Genomic DNA, 25,642 nt, shown 5'->3' on the forward strand with positions numbered 1-25,642 from the left:
CAATAGAGTTAACTAAATATACAGCTTTCCTGTGACTTGCCTGTGACCTACACACACAGTGTCAATTTAAAAAGAACAAAGTCGTTTACTGCTCAGTGATTTTTATGTGTTAGCTCCTAGGAGAAAGGTGTTCCAGATGGTTTAAATACTACTTAACAAGTATCACATATACTATATTAAAATGTTGAACATAATTGAAATCAATATGTGGGCAAAAGTAAAAAAAATCCCTCACCCAATCCCGAATTTTCAAGAAGTTAATTTTATTTTCTACAGCATGGCAGCTGAAGGAAACATTAAAAATTCTGTTCTTCTTTCAGGATGAGTTAATGTACATGCTGCGCAAACTTCTCTTGAATATTGGAGACTTTCCTGCTCAGACATCTCACATCCTATTCAACTATTTGGTGAGTTATAAATGTTCATTTCCAATTACGAAGCAGCACCATGATGAAAAGGTCTTAGAAGATTTTTTTCAATAAATTTCCATTAATTACATTACTAAAGGCAAATCCTGGTCAACTAAATTCTGTGTAGGGAAGCCCCTGCCTGGCATACTCTTTGACATATGGAGGACAGTCAATATAAATGTCAGTTCCTCTCTGTCTTCCTTTAGCAATATATAACTTTCTTATGTTTGTTGTTTATTTTTGTTTTCTGTTGAGAAAACATGTGTTCTTTTAGTATTTTTTCCTCTTTTCCTATCTCTATGTTTAAACACACACACACACACACACACACACACACACACACACACACACACACACACAGATGCAACTGTTGTCCTAGATGGAAAGTTTTTGTGTATATATTTTTGCATGGCAACTGTCTATGACAGTTTTAACTGCCCTGGCAGTTCTTTTCTGATCCTCTGAGACTTACCAATTTCTTCACATTCTTTTTTTAAACCCCAGATGAATATGCAGTTTGGGGACTAGAACCTGATGACTACACCTTGAAACTGCCCCTTAATCCAGGCAGACAAATAGCCAAATTAATGTCTGTGCTGAGCATACTCCTTCAGTTATCCATATGCATATGCATCCCTAGCAGGGTGATAAATTTAACTCCCACCACAACCCCCATGTGCAGAGAACATTTGTAATTCCTTTCTCTTGTCTAAGACTAATTTGGTCATCTTTCTTCCGAGTGCCTACTTGCTGGTTGGCAAAGGAAAAAAATATGAATAAATGTCCAATCCAGATTTAAGTTCAGACCGGTACCAAAACATAAACAGTACATTTTGGTGGTTTTCAGTCTCTCTTGGATAAAAATGCATAGTCTCTAGGAATTCTCCCTCCTTCACACTGCTTTTGTCTCTATAGCTATGTGGAGTTGGGAAGAAAAAAGACCTGTGTTCCACATCTCACCCCTTGCATTTTATCTGGGTCCTTCATTTGTGAGACCATGTTCTTAAGTCTGGCTGGTTGCTGGATATCTGGATGGGCACAAACTCAAGCCCATGGCTGCTGTCACTCAAAGCCTGTCTGCTCCTGGCACTGTTTGCCAGGAGACTCAACCTCCCCTTAGCTTCTGTGGGTGCTTTAGACCCCCTGAGTTCTTGCCATGAGTCCCATAGGGCTCTAACATAGGAAGTCCACCAGCTACAGCATCCTGCTCAGTGACAACAGCCTATGGCCGTTCTATCTGGAAAGCTTTCCAGCCAAGCATCCACTACTTCTGGGTTCTGTCTACACCACACGAAAACCAAAGGTGGATTTGGAAAGCCAAATGTCAGGGCCTCCCTCAGTTTAGGTGTGTGCCCTGCCAAATTTACACTCCATCCAGGCTGGTGTGGAAAGAGCCCAAAGAGGGACTGGAGATGAGAGCGCCTTCAGTGTTTCTTTCGCTTGCCTGTGTACCTGCCCCTTCCCCAGGTCACTGAATAGGAGAAATGCTTGCCCAGACCATTGCTCTCCTCCATCCTTTAGCTCCGCAACAAAAATATTTTTAAGGGAGCTTGATGCCCAGATAGTTTTAAAAGAAATAAATCTCCAAATACTCAACTTAACAGATATGCACTAACACTTGTTGAGTAAGTCTGCCATCTCAACCATTATTCTAGTGCACACAAGGAAGACCCAACCCATCATCCCAGAGATTACCAGGCTGCACTGACAGGCATGTAGGTTGGAGAAAGAATCTGAATTCTATGTTATTAGTAGTTTTAAGAAATCATCTTTTCTGATTGATCAATGCACTTTAACCCATAGGACTTTCTATCTGGTCCTATGTTTTATAAATTTCTATTAAGGGTGAGGGTTGGCCCTCCTTAGGGTGTCCAGCATTTAGAACACCAAAACAGATTAGGTTTGCGACACTGATTCTTTCAACATAACTACAAAGTTTTCCAGGACTACAAAATTTTTGAAGAAACAATGGTTAAAACCCACAAGAAAAAAAAATTTACACTATTTCTTTCTGAATATTTGCACATTATTGAATAGGATAATTGAAAGTTATTTCATCAAATATTCCAATTATAGTCAGTCCTCATCTTATTTCAATGTATAGAATGCTGAACATATTCTACCTCCTATTAACAAAAAATAAACTTGAATGAGGCATTTTAGATGTCAACTTTAAAAGGTGCAAAAGAGCACACAGTTTTTCAAAATTACATTAGAAGATATGCAAACAACCCAGCTGATAAAATAATGTAAGGTTTGTCACAACAAACCTCATGACACACATTTACCTATGTAACAAACCTACACGTGTACCCCTGAATTTAGAAACAAAAAAAAAGAAGACACACAAAAATTTTGAAGTTCATCAACTTAGCCAAGCAGTGTGCTCTTAGGTTTGAGACTATTAGACATAATCCAAGCTGCAAATAGTGCTTGGACAAACTTCTTATACAGATGAATTTTAGATGGCCCAAGTACCTAGCTACCAAGTGACATGATGCCTGGGTGGGGGGAGGGGGGAATGATCTGCTTTTTTCTTAAGAATTCGCCATTTTAATGATATATAAAAATGTACAGCAGCCTGTGTGGTCAGTTTTCCAGTTATGCCCTCTCCTGGTAACATTGAAAGTGTTAGAGAAGCATCTGAACAGAGAATATGAAGGCACAGAAGAAGGTCGAGTTTAAAACAAGAAAAGCTAAGGAAATGAGAATGTGAGCTCGGGATTATTGTAGCTTTGTGAACTCTTCTTATACTGACTTCTAGGTAGGATTAATCATGTACTTTGTGCGGACCCCCTGCGAGTGGGGGATGGATGCCATTTCAGCCACCCTGACATTCCTGTGGGAGGTGGTGGGTTACGTGGAGGGCCTCTTCTTCAAGGATCTCAAGCAGACGATGAAGAAGGAGCAGTGTGAGGTGAAGCTCCTGGTGACCGCTTCAATGCCAGGTAAGCCACTACTACTTTTTAGTAACATAACTTTAAAAAAAAATTATAAATAGCCCTTTGAAAGACTAAGAGTCTCTTTCATTCATGAGAAAATTTTCAGAGTTCTAACCCCCAGTATTGAGTGCTTCAAAGAATTTTTGTTTAATATAATCAGAGGAAATACAATAGACCCTTTAAAAAGTCAGCGGTTGCCAGCTGAAAAGGGAGACTCAGAACTGAGATCCGCATGAATCAGTCCTTGAAGGGCTGCCAAGGTTGAAGATTTATTTAAGTCTATTGCAGAGAGCCAGCTGAACTGAAAGCTTGTTTGAGTGAATTTTTGGCAGTGCAAGAATAATATTGTTTGTATGGCATGGACTCCAGTCTTTTGTAAACTCCATGAGTGAGGGCTTTATGAAAAATTGGAAAAGGGGAAAGCAGGAAGAAGGAGCATTACAAAAGAACATGAAGCGTGATGTAAACTCAAGATACGGTTCCTTTTCACTTCGGATAGCTTGTTTTGCCTTAAGACAAAGATTTGGACAATTCTTTATCCTTGTGCAGTGACTAAGAAAATTTGAGATGATACATGTATTGAAATAGAAGTGAAAGACAGAATTATGTAGAGATGAGAACACAGGTTCTCGCAGCAAAAAAGCCTGTGTTTAAATCATAGCACTGTCATTTATTAGTCACATAACTAGTATTAACTGTGAAGAAGTACATTATTTCTCAAAGCTTTCTTTCTTTGTGTATAAAATAGGGATATAATTCATACTTCACAATTGTGAGGAATAAATGAGTTGAGATATGTGAAATACTTGCTGCCATACCTGGCTCATGATAAGCATTCGATGAATGGGAATTGTGTATGTATAGGTTCTGTAGATTATCCAAAAAAAGTGATCAGTTTTTATTACAGCAAAGAAACTCCTATTTTTAACATACTTAAAAACAACTCACTAAAAATTGAGGTATATCATAATGTTCACAAAGATTTGTAATTAATGAATGAAGTAGAATAAATATTGTCTCCATCAGCCAAGAAGAATACAGAAAATGTAGCTTTCAGCTACATTTCAAGTACATGTTTTGGTTTTGCTAATATCCCTGTTTATATTTTCTTAACTTTTATTGCCTGGTCACCTCATCTAGAAAACAGGGATGTACTACTTGTTGAAATGCTTGAGGTTTGAATTCTAACTCTTCCACTAAATAAATATGTCTCTTAAGTTATTCCATTTCTCTTTTTCCTCATTTGTAAGATAAAAAATCATAACACCCACATCATGGGGTGGCTATGAGATTTAAATACAATTATGCATGTAAAAGACAGGTAGAAGTATTGAGAACTTGGCCTAGCGCGGTGGCTCACTCCTGTAATCTCCGCACTTTGGGAGGCCGAGGCAGGTGGATTGCTTGAGGTCAGGAGTTTGAGACCAGCTTGGACAACATGGCGAAACCTCGTCTCTACTAAAAATAAAAATTTTTTAAAAGTATTGGGAACTCCATACCTATCACTTTTAATAAGTGAATATATTTAAAATATATGTATATTAATCTTAAATTTCCAGGTTAAAAATAAATAAAATATATATGTAACTATGAATTAAGAATTGTAATTAACAGTAAAAACATCAGCTTATTGATAATATTTTAATATTTTATGCTTTAAAATACAAATTTTCTATAGTAAAAGTCAGTTTGTTATTATTTTTATCATCTGTAGGTACTAAAACCTTGGTAGTTCATGGACAGAATGAGTGCGATATCCCAACCCAGTTACCAGTCCATGAAGACACTCAATTTGAAGCCCTGTTGAAGGTAGGAATGACTTTTAACAGAAACAATTTTTAAGGACAATGCTATGGCCACCTCACTGAAGATCCATTTTAGAATAAAATGGCATTTTTCTGTCTTTAAATGGATGTATGCATTTCTTTACTCTTCTAAAATCTGCCCCACTATTATTTCCTTATGCTATTTCCTTCCATAATTTTCCCCACTTCTACTGACTTTAGTCAGTAAACTTTTAGTAATCTGATTTTCAGGAACATAGTTCTGGGCCCAGATGTAAGTAGAAGAGACCTTTGGAAAAAAAATCAACTTTTCCAAACTCGTGCATCTTATTTCAGTAGAAAGGGACATTACTACTCCTTTTGTCCTCATTCAGACATCTCCAGAGAATTTCTAAGGCCCAACTTCAACAAATACTCCATTTTTATACTCACGATGAATGGTAGGATAGCAGGAAGGCAAACAGAGTATATTCAAACGCTGCCTTCACCACAACCAGTGTGACCTAAATCAAGTGATAAGACTTCTCTAGTCTCAGTTTCATTTTCAACAGTACTGAGATACTAGTTCAGGTTATACAAGTTATCTATGCCTAGTATATAGTATATAATGTGCACAGTGCATGATAGTTTATATTATTCTTAAGTGTTTCTCAAACATGCTTTCTTCCTGATGCTGAGACCAGTAGGTGCCACTGTTCCTCCACAGTCCATCACTCAGTCTGAATTATAATTGTACATCTTTGGGCACTATGAGATCAGATGGTCCATATCACATTATCAGTCTTTATCGTACCATTCTTTGGATAGCTCTGTGTGGGTATATATGCAGCCATGGTATGTGTGTATATATATGTGTATATATATATGTGTGTGTGTATGTGTATACACATATACACACACACATATCTAACGTATACAGTTTACATAAGACATCAATATATACAGATAATTCTCGTAAGAGGTTACCTTGTTTTTTCAAAATTTGTATCTGTCACCTTACTACCTAGCACATAATATCTTCCTGATAAACATTTATTAAAATTTGTTGCTATTGTTCTAGGAGTGTCTGGAGTTTTTTAATATCCCAGAATCCCAGTCAACACATTATTTTCTTATGGATAAACGATGGAACCTTATCCACTACAATAAGGTGAGACACCAGTAGTGACATCCCCGTTGAGTTGTGCCAAAGGCTTATCATGCCTACCTGAGGGTGGCTCACAGTCAGGGAGGCATCGCTGTTTAGAAGGTAATAGTATGGCCACCTGGGTCACACCATCTTACTATCAATGGGGCTTTTGACTGGCGACTTCACCTTTCTACCCTTTGGTTTTCTTGTGTGTAAAATGAAGGTAATGATAATGGTATCCATGCTAGAGCAGTTGTAATAGTTAAATGAGATAAGCTAGATAAGACACTTAGGTATTGATCATTATTACATGAAAAATTACGTTGCCCGTATAATACCTGTGTGTGTCTATTTGGAATTTGAATGCTGTTTTGCATCTCTTTTCTACCATGTTAAACAAGACCATGCTGATCTGATCTAATGAGCAGAAGGGCCTCAGGATGCTCGCTGACATCACTTTACAGTGATCTTCCAGAGTGTTGTTTAGTACATTGCCTTTAGCTGCTTTTCTCCTGGCATAGCATCCTAGTGCTTAGATCTTTGGGTAAAGAAGAAATGAGAAAAGATGTTTAATCTTTTGAACTCTTTTTTTTGTCTCTTTATGTAATCCACACAGACCTATGTTCGAGATATTTATCCTTTCCGGAGGTCAGTATCTCCCCAGCTGAATCTTGTACATATGCATCCAGAGAAGGGACAGGAGCTCATTCAGAAACAGGTGACAGACCACGTCAGTTTTATTCCATGGTTTTGTCATGTTGTTGGAGTAGATATCTGTTCATACTTTGCCAACTTTGAGATTTTATGATTCCATTTTGACCCTCTCTGGAGACAGTAGTTGGCCCTCACTCAACAAATTATTCCCCTAAATAGTGTAAGATTTACAAATTGGATCATTGCTTAAAGGTAGTAAGAAACACTCACTTGGAGTAGTGTAATGATGAATTATTGAGTATAAATAATAGAAATCTCCTAATTATTTACCTATTATTTTCTATATGTAGATTTTCATTTCACATTTCTGTAAAATTGGATTGGAAATACACATAATGTAGCTATGTAAATTATCCCAGTGGTTTACACTAGCTGGCTACACAGTAAAAGGGGTCACTCTAGTATGCTTGAAAAAAAAAGCATTAAACTAAAGTTCAAAGATTTGGACTTCATCCCAGTTCTGCCTCTGACCAGGGATCTGACCTTGGGCATGTTATTAATTTCTCTTGAAACAGGAAGAGATATAGTCTAGCAGCTGTACTTAGGTTTAAGGTTGAAGAACAGAATAATATTCACATTTAATCTCAAATCAAACTTTGAGCTTAAGGAAAGTCACTATTCTGCATGCAAAATATAGCTTTAGTACACAATTCTAAAAATGATACAATTTTAATATTGCATATTTATTACATTCATTTTTAAATAAAATCTTTAAAGAATTTCAGGATACTTGATCATTTCAATTTTCTGTACATATCAAGGATAATAATTTGCCTTCAAAATATCCAAAAATATCTTCATGAAATGGGTGAGCATCGCATAGAATTAGACCACTTAAGTAATTAAAAATATAGCTACAATTAACTACCGACATTCTATTTAAAAGAAAGAAAATACTAAATGTGTTGCAAGGTGTGAGATGTTGGGCAAAACTATTAGATCTTAAATATAAACAATTCCTAAAACAATTCTCCTCAAATTACCCCAGCCCATGATTTTGGGGTAAGATAATTGAAACCCTAATCAATAATGGTGCTTGCCTAGTCTCTGTCTCTCTCTCTCTCTCTCTCTCTCTCTCTCTCTCTGTGTGTGTGTGTGTGTGTGTGTGTGTCTATTCATCATGTTTAAGAACAAGTTTTCAAAGAATGCCATCAAATGGAGTTCTTGCTCTGATGTACACTTCAAGTTAGAGCCTTAAGACTTCTAAGTTCCTCAGGGAGATTATAACATGGAGGCCTATGAGTCTGGCTCAGAAGTTTCCTCAGTAGCTACTCACTGCATATAAACTTCCTAATCATCAAGAGAAAAGGACCTAAGAACCAAGAGCCCCATGTGTATGCCCTCTAAACTCAGAGCACCAATCAAGGACCTATGAGCTTCTGTCCCAAGATAGGGTTTTCCTGGATCTCACATCAGTCTTTGTTTTTTTAAAGACAAACCCGGAACTCCCAGGAAACAGCTTCAGGCATTGGTGGCAATGGAACTGACTGACTCACTGACCCTGTTAGTGAAGGTCTTCCATATTATAGCATCCAAACAAATGGGCTCTATTTAATATTGAACTAATCTTGACAATGCTTGCCTTATGCTCCTCTCCAGCCTAAAACTCCATAAGGAACATTTCCTTCTGTAAAGCAGGCAGAAGGAAGTAAGAGGCAATTGAGAATTGTTTGCTCTTGCTTGTGGTAAAGGATAAAAACACATGTCTCCCTCATTTCACTTTTTCCCCTTTTCCGACTTTATCAACCCAGTTTGCCATTAAAGGTTTTCCTTTAGTTTTTTCAGTCTATAAATCTGGAGTTTCTAATACTCCTTTTTGTCTGCTCCTGCTTTTGTTTTCTCCAGGTGTTCACCCGAAAGCTGGAAGAAGTAGGGCGGGTGTTGTTTCTCATCTCCCTAACCCAGAAGATCCCCACAGCCCACAAACAGTCCCACGTCTCCATGCTTCAGGAAGACCTCCTCCGCCTGCCCTCATTCCCTCGTAGTGCTATTGATGCTGAGTTTTCACTCTTCAGTGATCCTCAAGGTATCAAACAAAGAAACATTGCCTCTCTGGGGCTTTTTCTAACACACTTGTTGTTTTTTTTTAAAATTTTATTATTATTATACTTTAAGTTTTAGGGTACATGTGCTCAACGTGCAGGTTTGTTACATATGTATACATGTGCCATGTTGGTGTGCTGCACCCATTAACTCGTCATTTAGCATTAGGTATATCTCCTAAACGCACTTGTTTTGTTCTCAAATGGAGAGCATCTGAATCAGCAGACAGTGCTGTAAAACCAGTGCTTCTCAGACCTGAGTGTGCACAAGAGACCCCTGAAGGACTTGTTGAAACACAGATTGCGGGGCCCCACGCTCCACCTCCGGGTTTCAGGATGGGGCTCAAGAGTTTGCATTTCTATTAAGTTCTCAGGTGATGCTGATGCTGCTATCCCAAGCACCACATTTTGAGAACCACTGCTCTAAGCTAGTCATCAGCAGTTGAAGCGTGGGTAGGATGGTGTTGTTAGGGTATGAGAATACTTGACTAAACAAAGACCGGGTATTTGTGTGAAGTTCAAAAAGAGGCAAAATTCATCTAGAATGACAGAAATCAGAATGGTGGTTGCCTCTGGATTTGGAGGGAATGAATTTCCTGGAAAGGGGCAGAAGGGTGATGAAAATGGTCTGTATATTGATGGAATGTTGTCTACATGAGTGCATAGTGCATATTTTTGTCAAAATTCAATGAACTCTAAAGATCTGTGCATTTTACTCTAAATAATACCTCAATTGAGAGAAAGAGAGACACAGAAGGAGACCCACTTTGGAGCCTCGCTCTGTTACTCAGTTATTAATTTGAGACAATTTACTTAAATTAGCATCTCTATGTTTTATCGCCCTCATCCAGAAGCTTCAGACAGGCTGGGCAAGGTGACTCATGCCTGTAATCCCAGGCCTTTGGGAGGCCCAGGGAGGCAGATCACTTGAGGTCAGGAGTTTGAGACTACCCTGGCCAACATGGCGAAACCCTGTCTCTACTAAAAATACAAAAAAAATTAGCTGGGCATGGTGGCGGGTGCCTGTAATCCCAGCTACTCAGGGGTCTGAAGCATGAGAATCACATGAACCCAGGAGATGGAGGTTGCAGTGAGCCGAGATTGCGCCATTGCACTCCAGACAGAACGACAGAGCGAGACTCCATCTCAAAAAAACAAAAAACAAAAAACAAAACGCTTCAGCTTCAGCAGTAGATAGAGCTCTAGCCTCTGACCATTAATTAAAAGACCAAGCAGTAGTCCCATCCCTGCTATTTTCTAGCTGAAATAATTTATTTTTCTCCAACAGATGTTTATTTAGCAGTAAAACACTGCCAATGCCTGCTCTGCCTTACCCACAGTTAGTTAAAGAGGTGATGATGAAAGTTCATGGAGAAAAGGAAGTGCTGTATCAAGGCCAGTAATATTGTGCTGGAAAACATTTCAGCAGTAGATCTTCACATCCTGGAGCTGGAACAAACGGAGAACAGCAGCGCCTTGGGTTTGATCACCTCTCATGCTGACAGGATTGGTGTGGGGCTAATTCTGTCTCTGCTGTTTCATGTTCTCACAGCTGGAAAGGAACTGTTTGGCCTCGACACTCTTCAGAAAAGCTTGTGGATCCAGCTGCTGGAGGAAATGTTCCTGGGCATGCCGAGCGAGTTTCCATGGGGAGACGAAATCATGCTTTTCCTCAACGTTTTTAACGGGGCTCTGATCCTCCACCCGGAAGACAGTGCCCTGCTCAGGCAGTATGCTGCCACCGTCATCAACACCGCGGTGCACTTCAACCACCTCTTCTCTCTCAGCGGCTACCAGTGGATTCTCCCCACCATGCTGCAGGTGCCCAGAACCTCCTCTCCCAACCAGAAAATTAACATGAGTACTGCTCATATCTAGCCGTTCAACTAGATCTATACTGAAACTTTTTAATGATGGTGTTATCATCTTCTTTTGTGACAACAGAAGGCAACAAATGAAATCCCCCCATAAATTTGCAAGAGTTCACAATGTTCCTTTCTACTCTGAGAGCCCCAGACTTGGGATATGCTTTCCCATTTCGTCTAGGACAGTGGTTCTTAAGTTGTAGTCCCTGGGCCAGCAGCATCAGCATCAACTGGAAACTTGTTGGAAATGTACATTCTGGTCAGGTGTGGTGGCTCACGCCTGTAATGCCAGCACTTTGGGAGGCCAAGGTGGGAGAATCTCTTGAAGTGAGGAGCTTAAGACTAGCTTGGGGAACACAGCAAGACCACATCTCTAAAACAAAAAAAAGTTTTAAAGAAAGAGAAATGCACATTCTTGGAGCCCATCCAGGTCTACTGAATCAGAAACTCAGGGATCAGGGCCCAGTAGTTTGTGTTTTTAACAAGACCTTCAAATGGTTTTGATGCCCTAGAACAGGAATCCTCTACCTCCGGGCCAGGGACCAGTACTGGTCTGTGGCCTGTAAGGAACCCCCACCCCTAGATTTTCATAGGAGCTGGAACCCTATTGTGAACTGTGCATGCAAGGGATCTAGGTTCCATGCTCCTGAATCTAATGCCTGATGATCTGAGGTGGAACAGTTTCATTCCGAAACCATCCCCCGCACTCACCCTGGTCCATGAAAAAATTGTCTTCCATGAAACCAGTCCCTGATGCCAAAAAGGTTGGGGACCACTGCCCTAGAAAGTTTGAGAACTTCTGTTCTTGAGTCACATGTATGGCAAGTGTTTAGCTGATGTTTCTCCCGAGAGATTCCCTGACCTCTAACTGAATAGAGATTTTCATTCCCAGTAAATGTGGTGTGTTGGGATTGGAGAAGGTAATTTAGCAGGAACAATTTTTATTTACTCGTGTCTAATGTATAGCTGGCTACATTTAGGAGTACTAAATAAAATCAGGCAGGGCCCAGGGGCTCATCCTAGTTCTCTATTTTTGAGGAAGTTTTGATAAAAATTATGATCACAACACATACAAAGTTAAGTTTGCTCAACCTATGGGGGCAAGAAAGTTACTATCACAGGACTCTCTTCCTCATTTTTAGATAGTTGCAATTTTCTCTATTTTTTTAGTAAGTATTTTTTTTTTACTGATTACCAAAAGCGATTATGTTCATTACAAAATTCAAAAGATGGAGAAAGTTTAAAGAAAAGATAAGGCTCACTTAAAATCCTTTCTCCCAGGTAATCATTGTTTATACTTACAAATCCTGGCACTCTTTCCTACACACACACACACACACACACACACACTCCAGAATTATATATTTTCAAGTTTGTAACCTAGTTTTTTCATATAACACTAAGAATATCATAGGCATTTTATATAGCTATATTTAGCCTTACAGCATTTTTAAAATTACTGCACAGCATTCTATGATTTGTATATACCATAATTCACTTAACCAAGATATATTTATGAATAATTTGTCTCATATTTTCCACTGTTATAGCCAGTCTTGCAGCAGGCCTTCTTATGTATGCATGTTTATACATGTGTCTAGTCCTTTCCTTGAGATAAATTCCTAGTCACAAACTTCCTGGAAAGAAAGTATGTTTAGATTTTCAGCATTTTGAGGTGTGTTACTAAATTTATCTAGAGAAAGTTTATGCCATTTTACATTCCTCTCTACCAGTTTACAAAGTTAGCCATTTCCCTCCAAGCTTCCCATGACCATGAGTTTTAAAAGCGAGTACAACTTTGATACTTCATTAAGGCATTTTTTGAATATCTGGCATTTTTCCATAGGTGTACTCCGACTATGAAAGCAATCCCCAGCTGCGTCAAGCCATCGAATTTGCCTGTCACCAGTTCTATATTCTACACCGGAAGCCCTTTGTGCTCCAGCTGTTTGCTAGTGTGGCCCCTCTCCTGGAATTTCCTGTAAGTAAGCTCTGTGGGAAAAAAAAATGAAGACCAACAAAATGAGAAAAGCAAAGGTTATTTATTAGAGCTTACTATGGCAAGGGAGTTGGCTACCATCACTTGTGTTTTGGCAGAGATGCAAAGGCAGGCAGAGGAGTCGAAAAACTGTATAGTGAAAAAAGGAGAAGCTTCAGGTATGTCCTGATTGGAGCTATTGGCCTGGGGAAGCTGCAGGTGAACTAACTAGTAGTTGGGCATCTTATATGATGGGTTAGGGGTGTATATTGGGCTTTCTCTGGTTGGTCCTAAGTTGGAAGCAGGGACAAAAATTAGGAAAGCTCTCAGTTATTATGCCAGTCCTGGTTACTTTGGGCCAGTTGTTACAGAGGTTATTGTTTGGTTACCACTGGAGGTAGTGGCCTGACTTCCTACAAGCCTGACTTAGGCTGGCTTCCTGAGCTGGTTATTGTAGACAATGGGTTGGTTTCCTGAGCAGGTTGTTGCAGGTTGTGGGTCAAAGTTCTATCTTTATATATGATTTAGTCATTGACAGTTTGTATATTCAGTCTCTGAGCTCTCTTTCTTTAACCAATGAGACATGCATACCATAAATAATATTTCTTTCAACAAGCATATCATTTCTCTTCAACATTCCTCTTCAGCTTTCATCTCAGCTCCTAACACATAAATAGACCAACTCTACAGTTTTTTAAATATTCAATTCATAAAAGAGATGGAAAGTAGAAAACGGTAAAAGGAAGGTTTCCCAATTTTCATTCCTTTTTGTCACTCTCTACCACCTACCCTGCTTTGTTTTTCTTTTTCTTCAGAGATTTTACCACCATATCACATGTTATATCTATTTGTTTCATTAACATGAATTTCTACGACACTCAACCAGCAGAATTTAATCTTCATGAAAGCAAGACCTTTGTATGCTTTTGTCTTTGCTTGTTTGTTTGGTTTTAGTTATTGTTGTATCGTTGTTTTATTTGCATTTTGTTTTTGGTTTTCTATAACCTCAGTGTGTAGCCTGGTGCTTGGCACAGAAGAACATCATAAGGATTTGTTGTTTCAGTGAATTATTTAAAGCCATTTTAAATAGATTTAAAATTGTAAGTATCTCCATGTGGAGATACATTATCAAAGAAGACCTGTGAAATTCCCAGCGTTGTTAGTTAAAATAAGCATACATTCCGCAAACATATTTGTAGTATTCAACCAATCAATTATAGAAATTTTCTTAGTTCTGCCATCTTCAATTAAAGGAACCATTGATATGAACTTTTTGGAAGTTCATATATCGCTGTATTTTTGTGAGCTTTTACAAATATCTCTTTTGTTCTATATTAGAATTTAATAGATCCCTTAAAAGTCAGGTGTACCACTCCAAAATCATACCACAGCATTGCGGGATCCAGAATTATGTAAGCTGAATTCCAGGTAGATGTTGTACTTGTTACTGGTAATAGCATTTATAAAATTTGAATTCCTGTCAAGTTATAGTTTTACTGTGGTGGGAGTCAATAAACAAAAATTGTTTTTCTTTATCAGGATGCTGCCAATAATGGGCCCAGCAAAGGTGTGTCAGCTCAGTGCCTGTTTGACTTGCTGCAGTCCCTAGAGGGAGAGACCACCGACATATTAGACATCTTAGAGCTGGTCAAAGCTGAGAAGCCTCTCAAGTCATTAGGTAAAAGCAAAACTTGCTTTGACATTCTTTTTCTCACTGCAGTTGTTAAATATAAATATATGTATTATACACACATACACGTATATTTATATGTGTGTGTATATATAACTAAATCAAAGTAGCAAAAATAAATGGAACAGTAGTAGAAATTGAATGAGTACATTTTTTTTCTTAAATTTCTTATGAATCCTAAAGAGTAAGGAATTCTCTGCCATGAAAACTATATTAAAATGATGCTCAGTAGACCACTGCTGTAGCACTGCAGTTTTCAGAAAGTTGGGTTATCTTGGGTAATTCTAAGTGAATAACTCTCCAAAATGGTCTTTTATTATCATGGAATGTGTAGAACTAGAGATAACTCCAGGGTAAAGCCTCAACCTTAGGCAATTTAAATGCCCTTCAGTGTCTTCTATTATCTGAGATTTTTTTAAACACTCCAGAAAAGTATTTTTATTTTACATCTGATTGTTCAAAACTAGAAAACAGAATTTCGTTCCCTTGAGATGAAGAAATTAATAGTTTTCACAGCGTAGGAATAAAATTTAACAAGAAAAGGCTACAGTATATACTGGAATGATAACATTAGGAGTAATAGGTGCTTCTTTATCTCCTGCAAAATCCACTCTGATAGTTTGCCTTTACTTTTTGTTCCTTCAGATTTCTGCTATGGAAACGAAGATCTGACATTTTCTATCAGTGAAGCCATTAAGCTCTGTGTCACTGTGGTGGCGTATGCTCCCGAATCATTCAGAAGGTATCTGCAGCCCTTTATTCTGTGCCTTGTGATAAGTAAATATGGCAGAGAAAATAAAATTGAATGAATACAAAGGTTATGCTGATTAATATCAGACTAACATTCTGACAAGTAAGCTTTTAGAAACTAAATTTAGGCCAGGTGTGGTGGCTCACACCTATAATCCCAGCACTTTGGAAGGCTGAGGCAAGAGGATTCCTTTAGCCCAGGAGTTTGAGACCAACCTGGGCAACATAGTGAGACCCTGTCTCTACAAAAATTTTAAAAAATTAAAAATTAGCCAGGTGTGGTGTTGCACACCTGTAGTCCCAACTTTTTGGGAGGCTTGAGGCAGGAGGATTGCTTAATCCCAGGCGGTCAAGGCTGCAGTGAGCTGTGATTGTCCCATTGCACTCTGGCCTAGGCAACAGAGTAAGACTTTGTCAGAAAAAAAAAAAAAGAAAGAAAGAAAAAAGAAAAGGAAAGAAGAAACAAAGTTTAGGAAACATAGCATAGGTTCTGGAAAACAATAGTAAATCTTCATTCATTTGAAATCCCTTAATTTGAATTTTGTGCAGATGCTAAGGTATTTAGTCTTGTTAGAAAATATTTTTCCTCACAAGTAATGTGAATTAGTAGCAAACAAAATTTCATAACAGATATTTATTTAAGAAAACTCCTTTCAAGGGGCAATAAGAATTTCTGTAACACAAAGGGCAAGAATATCAATCTTGCCTTCATTTTGCCAAGTACAGAGAATTCAAAGACTCACATGAAGAATGAGTCATCCCAATTCAAAGATGTTGGCTCTGGTCTGAGATTTAAATCTGATCTATTAAAAGTTGTACTCTGTTGACAAGCTCTTCCAGGAAGAAGGAAGGAGCCAAGCTGATTATGCCCAATATATCTTTATATATTTGCCCTGCACCTTAAGCCTGTTTCTCTCTCCCATAAGAGAATGAATAAGGGCCAGGAGGAGCGGGATTTATATTAATTGAACTCTTTTTACTGGAGGGACACATGAGGAATGAGTAAGAAGTGTTTTCCCCAATATTCTCGAATTTTTGTCTTCTGGAGCAATGGGGAGAAAAACAGTATGCCTGTGGTCAGGCACGGATGTGGCTGTGGCCTTCAGGAGAACAAAGCTGCAGGATGGTCTCATTTCTGATCTCAGGGTATGGAGGGGATTTCCTACTCCCATTTTCTTGCTGTTCCTATAATACCACTGATCTACAAAAAGTTCCAGAATGGATCAAATCCTGCATTAAGTTAACTCCAAATCCATTCTATACGTGATTGTAAACATCTTCTCTCTACTCTATTTGCCATTCCAAGTGTGTTCAGCTACGTTGTTAACCAGATATGTCAGATATTCTGCAATTGAGACACTGCAATAATAAAATGCATACAGATTCTCCAATATTCCTGCAACATAGAGAACACCTAAGTTTGACTAAAAAGTTCTCCCATTTCAAATTTTACCAAATTTCCATTGAGTCATAAAATTCTCTTTCAAGTCAAAATTCAAACACATTGAAATCAAAAGGTGTTAGAGTTCACAATCAAATTCCCTTGTCATTGTGAGTTAAAAGCCAAAGTCTAATATTGTTAAGTTAAATTAGAATTTTTTTTAATCCTCCTAATTTTCCATTCTGTCAGTTTAAACCAGATGACATCTTGATGTCTCAGTAAGGTCAGGGTTTCTTAAGTAGTGGTTCCCTGGGATATCTCTCATGGGAATAAGTAACATACCTATAGGACTTCAACATTTGTAACAGCAAGTCTCTGTTGTACTTAATTTTTTTTAAAAGTATTTTATTTAAGTGTAACATTCACATAAAACACTAAAAAAATCATAATTTTACAGTTCCATGAATGTTCATAATGTTATCACATCTACATAACTACCACTCAGATTGAAAAATCAGATAGAGGCACTACTATCCTGATTTCTAATATGATAAATCAGTTTTGCCTATTTCTGAAATCTGTTTAACTGAAATAGTATAGTAGCTACTTTTTAATGTCTGACTTCTGTCATTCAGTATTATTTCATGAGATTCATTCATATAAATGTGTGTAACAGTAGTTGATTCTTTTTCATTCACTTATAATAGTCATAATAATTGTATGACTATGTTACAATTTATTTATTTCTTCTCTTGTTATCAGGCATTTGTGTTGTATCTAGTTTGAAGGTATTATAAATAAAGCTGCAATGAATGTTTTTGTATATGTCTTTGTACACAAATATTTATGCATTTCTATGGATGGAACTGCTGGGCTAAGTCATGGACTATGAGTATTTCTTGCTTTAGTAGATACTACCAAAAAGTTTTCCAAGGTGGTTTCAATTTTCATTCCCACCAACAGTATGTAAATGTTCTAGTACCCTATGGCCTCATCAACACTTGTTATCTTCGGTCTTTTTATTTTAGCTATTTTGTTGGGTTGTAGTGACATCCATTATCATTTTAATTTCCATTTTCCTCTTTCAAATTAAAAGGTTTGGAAGCTTTTCAGATAAATGTTTATCAAAATTTGGACATCTCCTTTTGCAAAGTGCCTACTGAAGTCTTCTGCCCATTTTTAAATGAAGTTATCAGTATTTTTTATTTTATATGTGTGATTTCTTAGTGTTTTCTATTTAATTAATTATGTCATCTGCAAATCATGAGAGTTGTATTTTATCCTTTCAAATTCTTGTACACATTATTCCTTTCTCTGTCCTTAATGCACTGGCTAGAACCTTAATACAAAATGGAATAGAAGTGATGATGGTGATGATGGTGGGATCTTTGTTTCATTTCTGATCCCGGGGTATGGAGGGGATTTCCAATATTTCATCACTAAGAATAGTATTTGCTAAAGGATTTTGTTGTAATATACCTGTAAAGATTAAGGAAGTAATTTTATTACTCATTAAGAAATTAATTATTAAGGAGTCTGCCTTCTATTCTTAGTTTAGTTTGAGTTTTCTTATTGATGGATAATGAATATTACCAAATGTTCCTCTCTATTTATAGAGATGATTATATGATTTTTATTCTTTATTTTCTAAGTGTGATAGGTTACACTGATTTATTTTCAAAATTAAAACTTTCCTGTCTCCTTAAAAATAAACTGTAACTGGGTTGTATAATTATCATTTTTCAGTATTGCTAGATTTGGTTTGCAATTATTTTAGCATTTTTACAACTATGTTAATGAGAGCTATGTCTGTAATTTTTATTCTTTAAAAAGGTCTTATCTAATGAATTTTATTGCTAGGATCACAGGGAAGTTAGGAGTAGAAGAGATATTCTAGGTAGCTCTATGTCATTCAAGATAAACCAATTCTGGATACTTAAAAAAGTTACAAGTGCTTAAACAAAAAGGATGTCTTGCTTAGCTACTACTTTATTAACTACCCACTGGTAAACGTTTTAGCAGGTGTATTTGTAACCCTCCATTATTATAAAGTCCTTGTCAGGCTATAGTATCAAGGATATGAAGATTAAGCTGGACTCATAAGATGAAATGGAAAGTGTCTCTCCTACCCACCCCCCGCTTTTTAATTTTCTTTTATTTTTGAGACAGAGTCTTGCTCTTGTTGCCCAGGCTGGAGTGCAATGGCATAATCTTGGCTCACTGCAACCTCTGCCTCCTGGGTTCAAGCAATTCTCCTGCCTCTGCCTCCCGAGTAGCTGGGATTACAGGCACCCGCCACCACACCCAGCTAATTTTTGTATTTTTAGTAGACATGGGGTTTCACCATGTTGACCAGGCTGGTCTTAAACTCCTGACCTCAGGCGATCCACCCGCCTTGGCCTTCCAAAGTGCTGGGATTACAGGCATGAGCCACTGCGCCCAGCCCCCCACCCCTTTTTAAAAACTCCTATTCTCTGTAGAAATTTGGTATGGATTAGCTTTTTTTTATTTTTGAAACAGGGTCTTGTTCTGTTGCCAAGGTTGGAGTGCAGTGTCACAATCATGGCCCACTGCAGCCTTGATCTCCCAGACTCGAGCAATCCTCCCACCTCAGCCTTCCAAGTAGCCGGCACTACAGGCGGGTGCCTTCACACCCTGCTAAGTTTTTTGATTTTTTGAGAGATAAAGAAAGTCTCACTGTGTTGCCCAGGCTGGTCTCAAACTCCTGAGCTCAAGTGTTCCTCCCACCTCAGCCTCCCAAAGTGCTGGGATTACAGGCAGAGGAACTGTGCCTGCCTCAGATGAGCATTTTGTCTTCCCAAAATATTGAGTAGAATTTATACACAAAACTGTAAGTAATGTGGTTTCTTGTGGGAACATTTTAAAATTAAGATTCTTTATCCTGGTGGTGGCTTTGGTAAGTCACATTTTTCTAGGAATTTTTCTATTTAATTTAAGTACCTAAATTTATTGACAGAAATTTGTTCCTGATATGCTTTTTTTAAAAAAAAAATTTTAATGACTATGAGGTTTTTATTGAGTTCACTTTTTTATTTCTAATACTGGGAATTTTTGCTCCCTCCCTTTTTTTATTATTCTTTTCAGGAGTTTATCAATAGTTTTCCCTTTACGAATAACCAGTATTTGGGGCTTTGTTGATTTTTGCTATTGTAGTTTTATTGTCTGCCTTTTCTTTCCTTTTTTATCTTTATTATTTTCTACCTTTGGCTTTTTTTTTTTTTTTAACGGAGTTTTCGTTCTTGTTGCCCAGGCTGGAGTGCAATGGCACAATCTCGGCTCACAGCGACCTCCACCTCCCGGATTCAAGCGATTCTCCTGCCTCAGCCTCCCGAGTAGCTGGGATTACAGGCATGTGCCACCACACCTGGCTAATTTTGTACTTTTAGTAGAGACAGAGTTTCTCCATGTTGGTCAGGTTGGTCTTGAACTCCTGACCTCAGGTGATCCACCCGTCTCAGCCTCCCAAAGTGCTGGGATTATAAGCATGAGCCACCGCACCCAGCTGGATTTTTTTTTTTAATTTAAAGAAAATATTCAGGCCAGGTGCAGTGGCTCACGCCTGGAATCCCAGCACTTTGGGAGGCCAAAGCATGTGGATTGCATGATTTCAGGAGTTTGAGACCAACCTGGGCAACATGGCAAAACCCCGTCCCTACAAAAAATACAAAAATTAGCGGGGCATGGTGGTGCATGCCTGTGATCCCAGCTACTCAAGAGGCTAAGGTGGGAGGATTGCTTGAGCCCAAGTTGAGGCTGCAGTGAGCTGAGATTGCACCACCACACTCCAACCTGGTCAACAGAGCAAGACCTGTCTCAAATAAATTAATTAACTAATAAAATAAAATAAAAAAGAAAATATTCCATTTTCTACTGACTTATCATATCTGTTGAAAAATCAGCATTAGATCTTATTGCACATTTGAATTTAACGTGTCCTTTTTTTTTCTCTCTCTCTCTCTTTTGAGATGGAATCTCACTCTGTCGCCCAGGCTGGAGTGCAGTGGCACCATCTCAGCTCACTGCAACCTCCGCCTCCCGGGTTCAAGCAGTTCTCCTCCCTCAGCCTCCCAAATAGCTGGGACTACAGGCATGCACCACCACACCCAGCTAATTTTTTATATTTTTAGTAGAGATGAGATTTCACCGTATTGGCCAGGCTGGTCTCAAACTCCTGACCTCGTGATCTGCCCGCCTCAGCCTCCCAAAGTGCTGGGATTACAGGTGTGAGCCGCCGTGCCCTGCCCTAATGTGTCTTTTTCTCTGGCTACTTTTAAGATTTTCTCTTTGCTTTGGGTTTTAAGCAGTTTGACTGTGGTGTGCCTAGTTGTGATTTTTCTTTGTGTTTATACTTCTTGGGATTCATAGTGTTTCCTGAATATAAAGCTTGATAGCTTTCAATAATTTTAGAAAATTTGACTAATAACTCTTCACATATTACCTCTATCCCATTTTCCCTCCCCTCTCCATTTATGTATATGTATTTTTTCCTCCTTAACCACATGCTCTATATATGTCTCTTATGTTCTTTCCTGCATTTCCTATCATTTCTCCCCTCTGTTCTGTCTTGATGTTTTCCATTGTTCTTTATTCCAGTTCACACTCATCTCTTCCTGTGTCTAATCTACTATTAACACTTACCTTTCAGGTTTCTAATTTCAAATATTTTAGTGTTCAGTTCTAGAATTTCCACTTTTTTAATAGATTTCAGAGTTTTGATGAAATTCTCCATTTTGTTATCTCTTATTTAACATTTTAGTCATTGTTTCATAAAAGTCTGTGTCTGATAACTTTAGTATGTAGATCACTTGTGGCTCTGTTTATATCATCTGTTCCTTTCCTTGGATTTGATCATTTGGTTTTAGCAGGACTGGGTAATTTTGACTAGTGAATATTGCATTAAAAAAATTAGAAATGCTTTGAGGATCTACCCGATGTTATCTTCCTCCAAAAATGATTCATTTTTACTCTCTGACTAGCAATTGTGGTAGGGCAGATCATTTTAATTCAGTGTGTGATTGATTTGATTTAAAGTTGGGTTTCAGTCTTTGTAAGGGCTGTTCTATTTATTTCACACTGCTAGGATCAGCCTTCCATGGGCCTAACTCCTCTTTGGAAGTCCCTGAACTCCAATATATATTTCCTCGCAATTATGAGGCTACTGAAAATCCTGCTTAGCTTCATAGCTCTTAGCTGACATTTCTGCTTGGATTTCTCCTTAGCCTTTTGGCCCTAAGCAATTTACAAACGAGCAGATGCCTGGAAAAAAAAGAGTGCTGCACAATGGCTGGATGAACTGAAGAAGCTTTCTTTCTCCCAGAAGTCTGGTACCTCCAAAAGATATCTGCTAGCCTTAGCTTCTACCTGGTACCTTCGATGTGTTTTAAAAATTTTGTCCACCCTTTCTAGTAAGACAATTAGTCTGCAGCAAGGTACTTTTTATTGTTACAGAAAGCAGAACCGACTTCTTGCCTCCTTTTTCAAGTTGCCAAAAAAATAGGAGAACTCAAAAGAGTATCATAGTTCTTTCTCCGTACCCATGAAATTCTGATAATTGCCATTTCCTGCTTATAGAGCACATATTATAGGCAAAATTATATTACCAAAAACCAGTATTCAGTATTATAAAGAGCATAGCAAAAACTCATTGGTATCTGTAAGAAAAAGAATAGATCAAAGAAAATCTTGATTTCAGATTCTTTGGGATATCAACTCATCACTGCTGTTTTCTAGAACCCACAATCTTTAAACTTTAACACAATTGGGGAATCTCTAAACAAAAGATGGCAGGGTGCGGTGGTTCATGCCTGTAATCCCAGATCTTTGGGAGGCTGAGGCGGGAAGATTGCGTGAGGCCAAGAGTTTGAGACCAGCCTGGCCAACATAGTGAAACCCTGTCTCTACTAAAAATACAAAAATTATCCGGGCATTGTAGTGAATGCCTATAATCCCAGCTACTGGGGAGGCTGAGGTAGGAGAATCACTTGAACCCAGGCAGAGGTTGTAGTGAGCCGAAATCATGCCACTGCACTGCAGCCTGGGTGACTGACAGAGCAAGACTCTGTCAAAAAAAAAAAAAAAAAAAAAAAAAAGATTTATGTTGGTGGTGTTATACACTTACAACTTTAGAGGGGAAAACCCACTTTGCATAATAACTACTTAATCTCCATGTCCCCTTCAAGGTGTTTCTGGCACCCCAATACTAAATTGAGTGTGGGCCCTATCCAGTGAGTGGTGTTCACTCACGTTGGTAAGCAGGCATTGTCAGACTTCATCATAATGGCTGTTTCCAACATTTGTTGCTATTTATTTTTTTAAGTTCAGGAAGCCAGCCTCCCATGAAAGGGTTTTATGTTGTCTCAAAATTGTTGCAGCTGGAAAATCACTCTCAGCAAACTCCTGAATTGAATTTTTGTTCTGAAGCCTGTTTCTCTAGATGGACTATATAGCTCCACCTATTATCATTCTGTTATTCTTTCAACCATTTATTTGTATATATGGCTAATTCCCCCGACTAGATCACATGTTTCCTTAAGGCAAGATTCATCGCCTTTTAGCAGGTGGTTAGTGAATTAATAATTGTTGGTCAACATTTCCAGCAGCTTTAACTGCTTTTGATTAGGAGTGGCAAGGGGCCTTAGAATTCATATATCTCTAGATGCTTTTCATTGTTCTATGCTCTTAAGTGTGACACAACCAACAAAAGTAGAATGTAAAAGGTGACTCGGTTTTCTTTCTGTCGCTTAAAGTCTTCAGATGCTGATGGTCTTAGAAGCCTTAGTTCCATGTTACCTACAAAAGCTAAAGAGGCAGACATCACAGGTGGAGACAGTACCTGCTGCCCGAGAGGAGATTGCGGCCACTGCTGCTCTTGCGACGTCCCTACAGGCCCTTTTGTACAGTGTAGAGGTCCTCACCAGGTAATCCCATTGGCAGAAATAGCTACAGCCTTACATCATATGTTTCCACTGAAAAAAAAAAAATAAGAAAAAAATGTGATGGATAAAAATCTAAAACCCAATCTTTATTTACAGATACCTCCTAAACTCAGCCCTTTATGCCTTATAACTGTGAACAGTTCGTGAGTTATTTGAATAAATAATGTTAAGCATTCTGATTAGTAGTAGTATAATAATAGTAATAATATTCTTACTATCATTGCTAAACACACATTTGCATATAGCTTGCTGAGCTTCTCCAGCAGTTATAACCCAGTGGTAAACACATCTTGTGTAAGAGGGCCAATTTAGTGAATTTAAAGATGTAATCTACATTTTTATTAGTTATTATAGTATTTTATGAGACATGGAATGCCTACAATTCCAACTAAGTATTCTTTTATTATTTTACTGTTTGTGAAGTGTTGTGTTTTTAACTATAATTTCAGAAACTACATAACCAATATAAACAGCAGAATGTTATCCTACTGCTTGAATTAATAGATTCTCTGTGGGACAGGATTAAATAATGCGGAGAGAGGATTGAGAAATTTGGGAATGGTAAGGTAAATTGGCACCAGAGTTCAGCCCTAAACAAAGTTCAAGCAGTTAGTCCTGTCGCAAGATGCTTGGGTGCCGAAGCAGAGTCACTAAGCTGCCATGTGGCAGGAAAGGGGCAGGCAGGGAGCCCTGGATGAGACAAAAAAATAAAATGCAAGTGGGGAAGGTGGATGCAGGACACTATGCGTATGATGGGCTTTTCTGCTCTGTTCCCATCTAAATTAGCTGCCAGGAAATATTCTTCCCCAGGATAGGGATGGGGAAGCCTTCTTCCTGGGTTTAGTGTCTTTGCTCCTCCATTCCATTCTGCCATGCTGTGTGTCCAATCTAAAGTGCCAGATCCTTAGTGTGAAATTGTCTACGCCTCCACCAAAAGGCACCAACTCCCCCAGCCCCATCTTGCTGTGCTGGTAAGGGGGAAGCCCTTTAGTCCAGGAAGGACTTTTTCAGCATGCATCAGCAAGAAAAAGAGAGAGTGGGATTGTAATTCATTAGCAGCAACAGATGTTTAGTTTCTAATCATGAGCTACATTGCCAAACTAGGCAAGCAGAATATTGCCCAAAAGCCTTCTGTAGACTATCATCCTGAAATGTTCATATGCACCTAAACTAAGGAAATGGGAAGAGTTGGCACAGACAGCCATGACAAATTATCTCTTCCAAGGAGAAATAGTTTTCTATGCTATTGCTGATGGTTTCATGAAAGTCCCAGAAGAATATCCTAAAGAGAAATGAAAGACTTACACTCTTCCTTCTGTACCCATCTGGTTATGTCACTGGCCTTTTCCTACAACTAGAAGAAAGAAAAGCAGTCAATTGTTCCCAAATGCCACTGTATTTCTAATATATATATATATATATATATATATATATATATATATATATATATACACACACACACACACACACAGAGAGAGACTGACTCACTCTGTCACCCAGGCTGGAGTTCAGTGGCATAATCTTGGCTCACTGCAACCTCCGCCTCCCGGGTTTAAGCAATTCTCATGCCTCAGCCTCCCAAAAAGCTGGGATTATAGGCATGCACCACCAGGCCCCGATAATTTTTGTATTTTCAGTAGAGACGGTGTTTCCCCATGTTGGCCAGGCTGGTCTCGAACTCCTGGCCTCAAGTGATCCACCCACCTCGGCCTCCTAAAGTGCTGGGATTACAGGTGTAAGCCACCATACTCAGCCTATTTCTCCTCATATTACGTAATGTTAAAGCTTTCCTCATTTCTATACCTTTTTATAAGGATAAGTCAATTAACTTATCCAAAATTGACTTACTCGAAGTGTCACAAAGAGTTATGGATGGAGCTCTGGCATTTAAAATTATGTGGCTTTAAATATTCCAGTGCATTTAATATTCTTTTGGCAGAGAAGACTAGCTTCATTATTTGGTAGTAGTTACTCAAACCAAAATTGGCTTCACTGTATTTA

At 38.3% G+C, this 25,642-nt stretch overlaps 1 protein-coding gene across 3 annotated transcripts in view; it reads left to right on the forward strand.

Annotated features, from left to right (window-relative positions):
- Positions 1-25,642, forward strand: part of UNC80 (unc-80 subunit of NALCN channel complex) — a 227,465-nt gene that overhangs the window by 158,816 nt on the left and 43,007 nt on the right. For all 3 annotated transcript variants that reach the window (NM_032504.2, NM_001371986.1, NM_182587.4), the window contains 11 exons: positions 321-407; positions 3,175-3,358; positions 5,067-5,161; positions 6,197-6,286; positions 6,882-6,983; positions 8,825-9,005; positions 10,574-10,842; positions 12,733-12,867; positions 14,404-14,542; positions 15,200-15,296; positions 23,453-23,623. In NM_032504.2, coding sequence (NP_115893.1) covers positions 321-407; positions 3,175-3,358; positions 5,067-5,161; positions 6,197-6,286; positions 6,882-6,983; positions 8,825-9,005; positions 10,574-10,842; positions 12,733-12,867; positions 14,404-14,542; positions 15,200-15,296; positions 23,453-23,623 — 1,550 coding nt within the window. The remainder of the gene's footprint in view (positions 1-320; positions 408-3,174; positions 3,359-5,066; positions 5,162-6,196; positions 6,287-6,881; positions 6,984-8,824; positions 9,006-10,573; positions 10,843-12,732; positions 12,868-14,403; positions 14,543-15,199; positions 15,297-23,452; positions 23,624-25,642) is intronic.

The sequence above is a fragment of the Homo sapiens genome, chromosome 2 (genome assembly GCF_000001405.40).
Source record: "Homo sapiens chromosome 2, GRCh38.p14 Primary Assembly".
Lineage (NCBI taxonomy): Eukaryota > Metazoa > Chordata > Mammalia > Primates > Hominidae > Homo > Homo sapiens.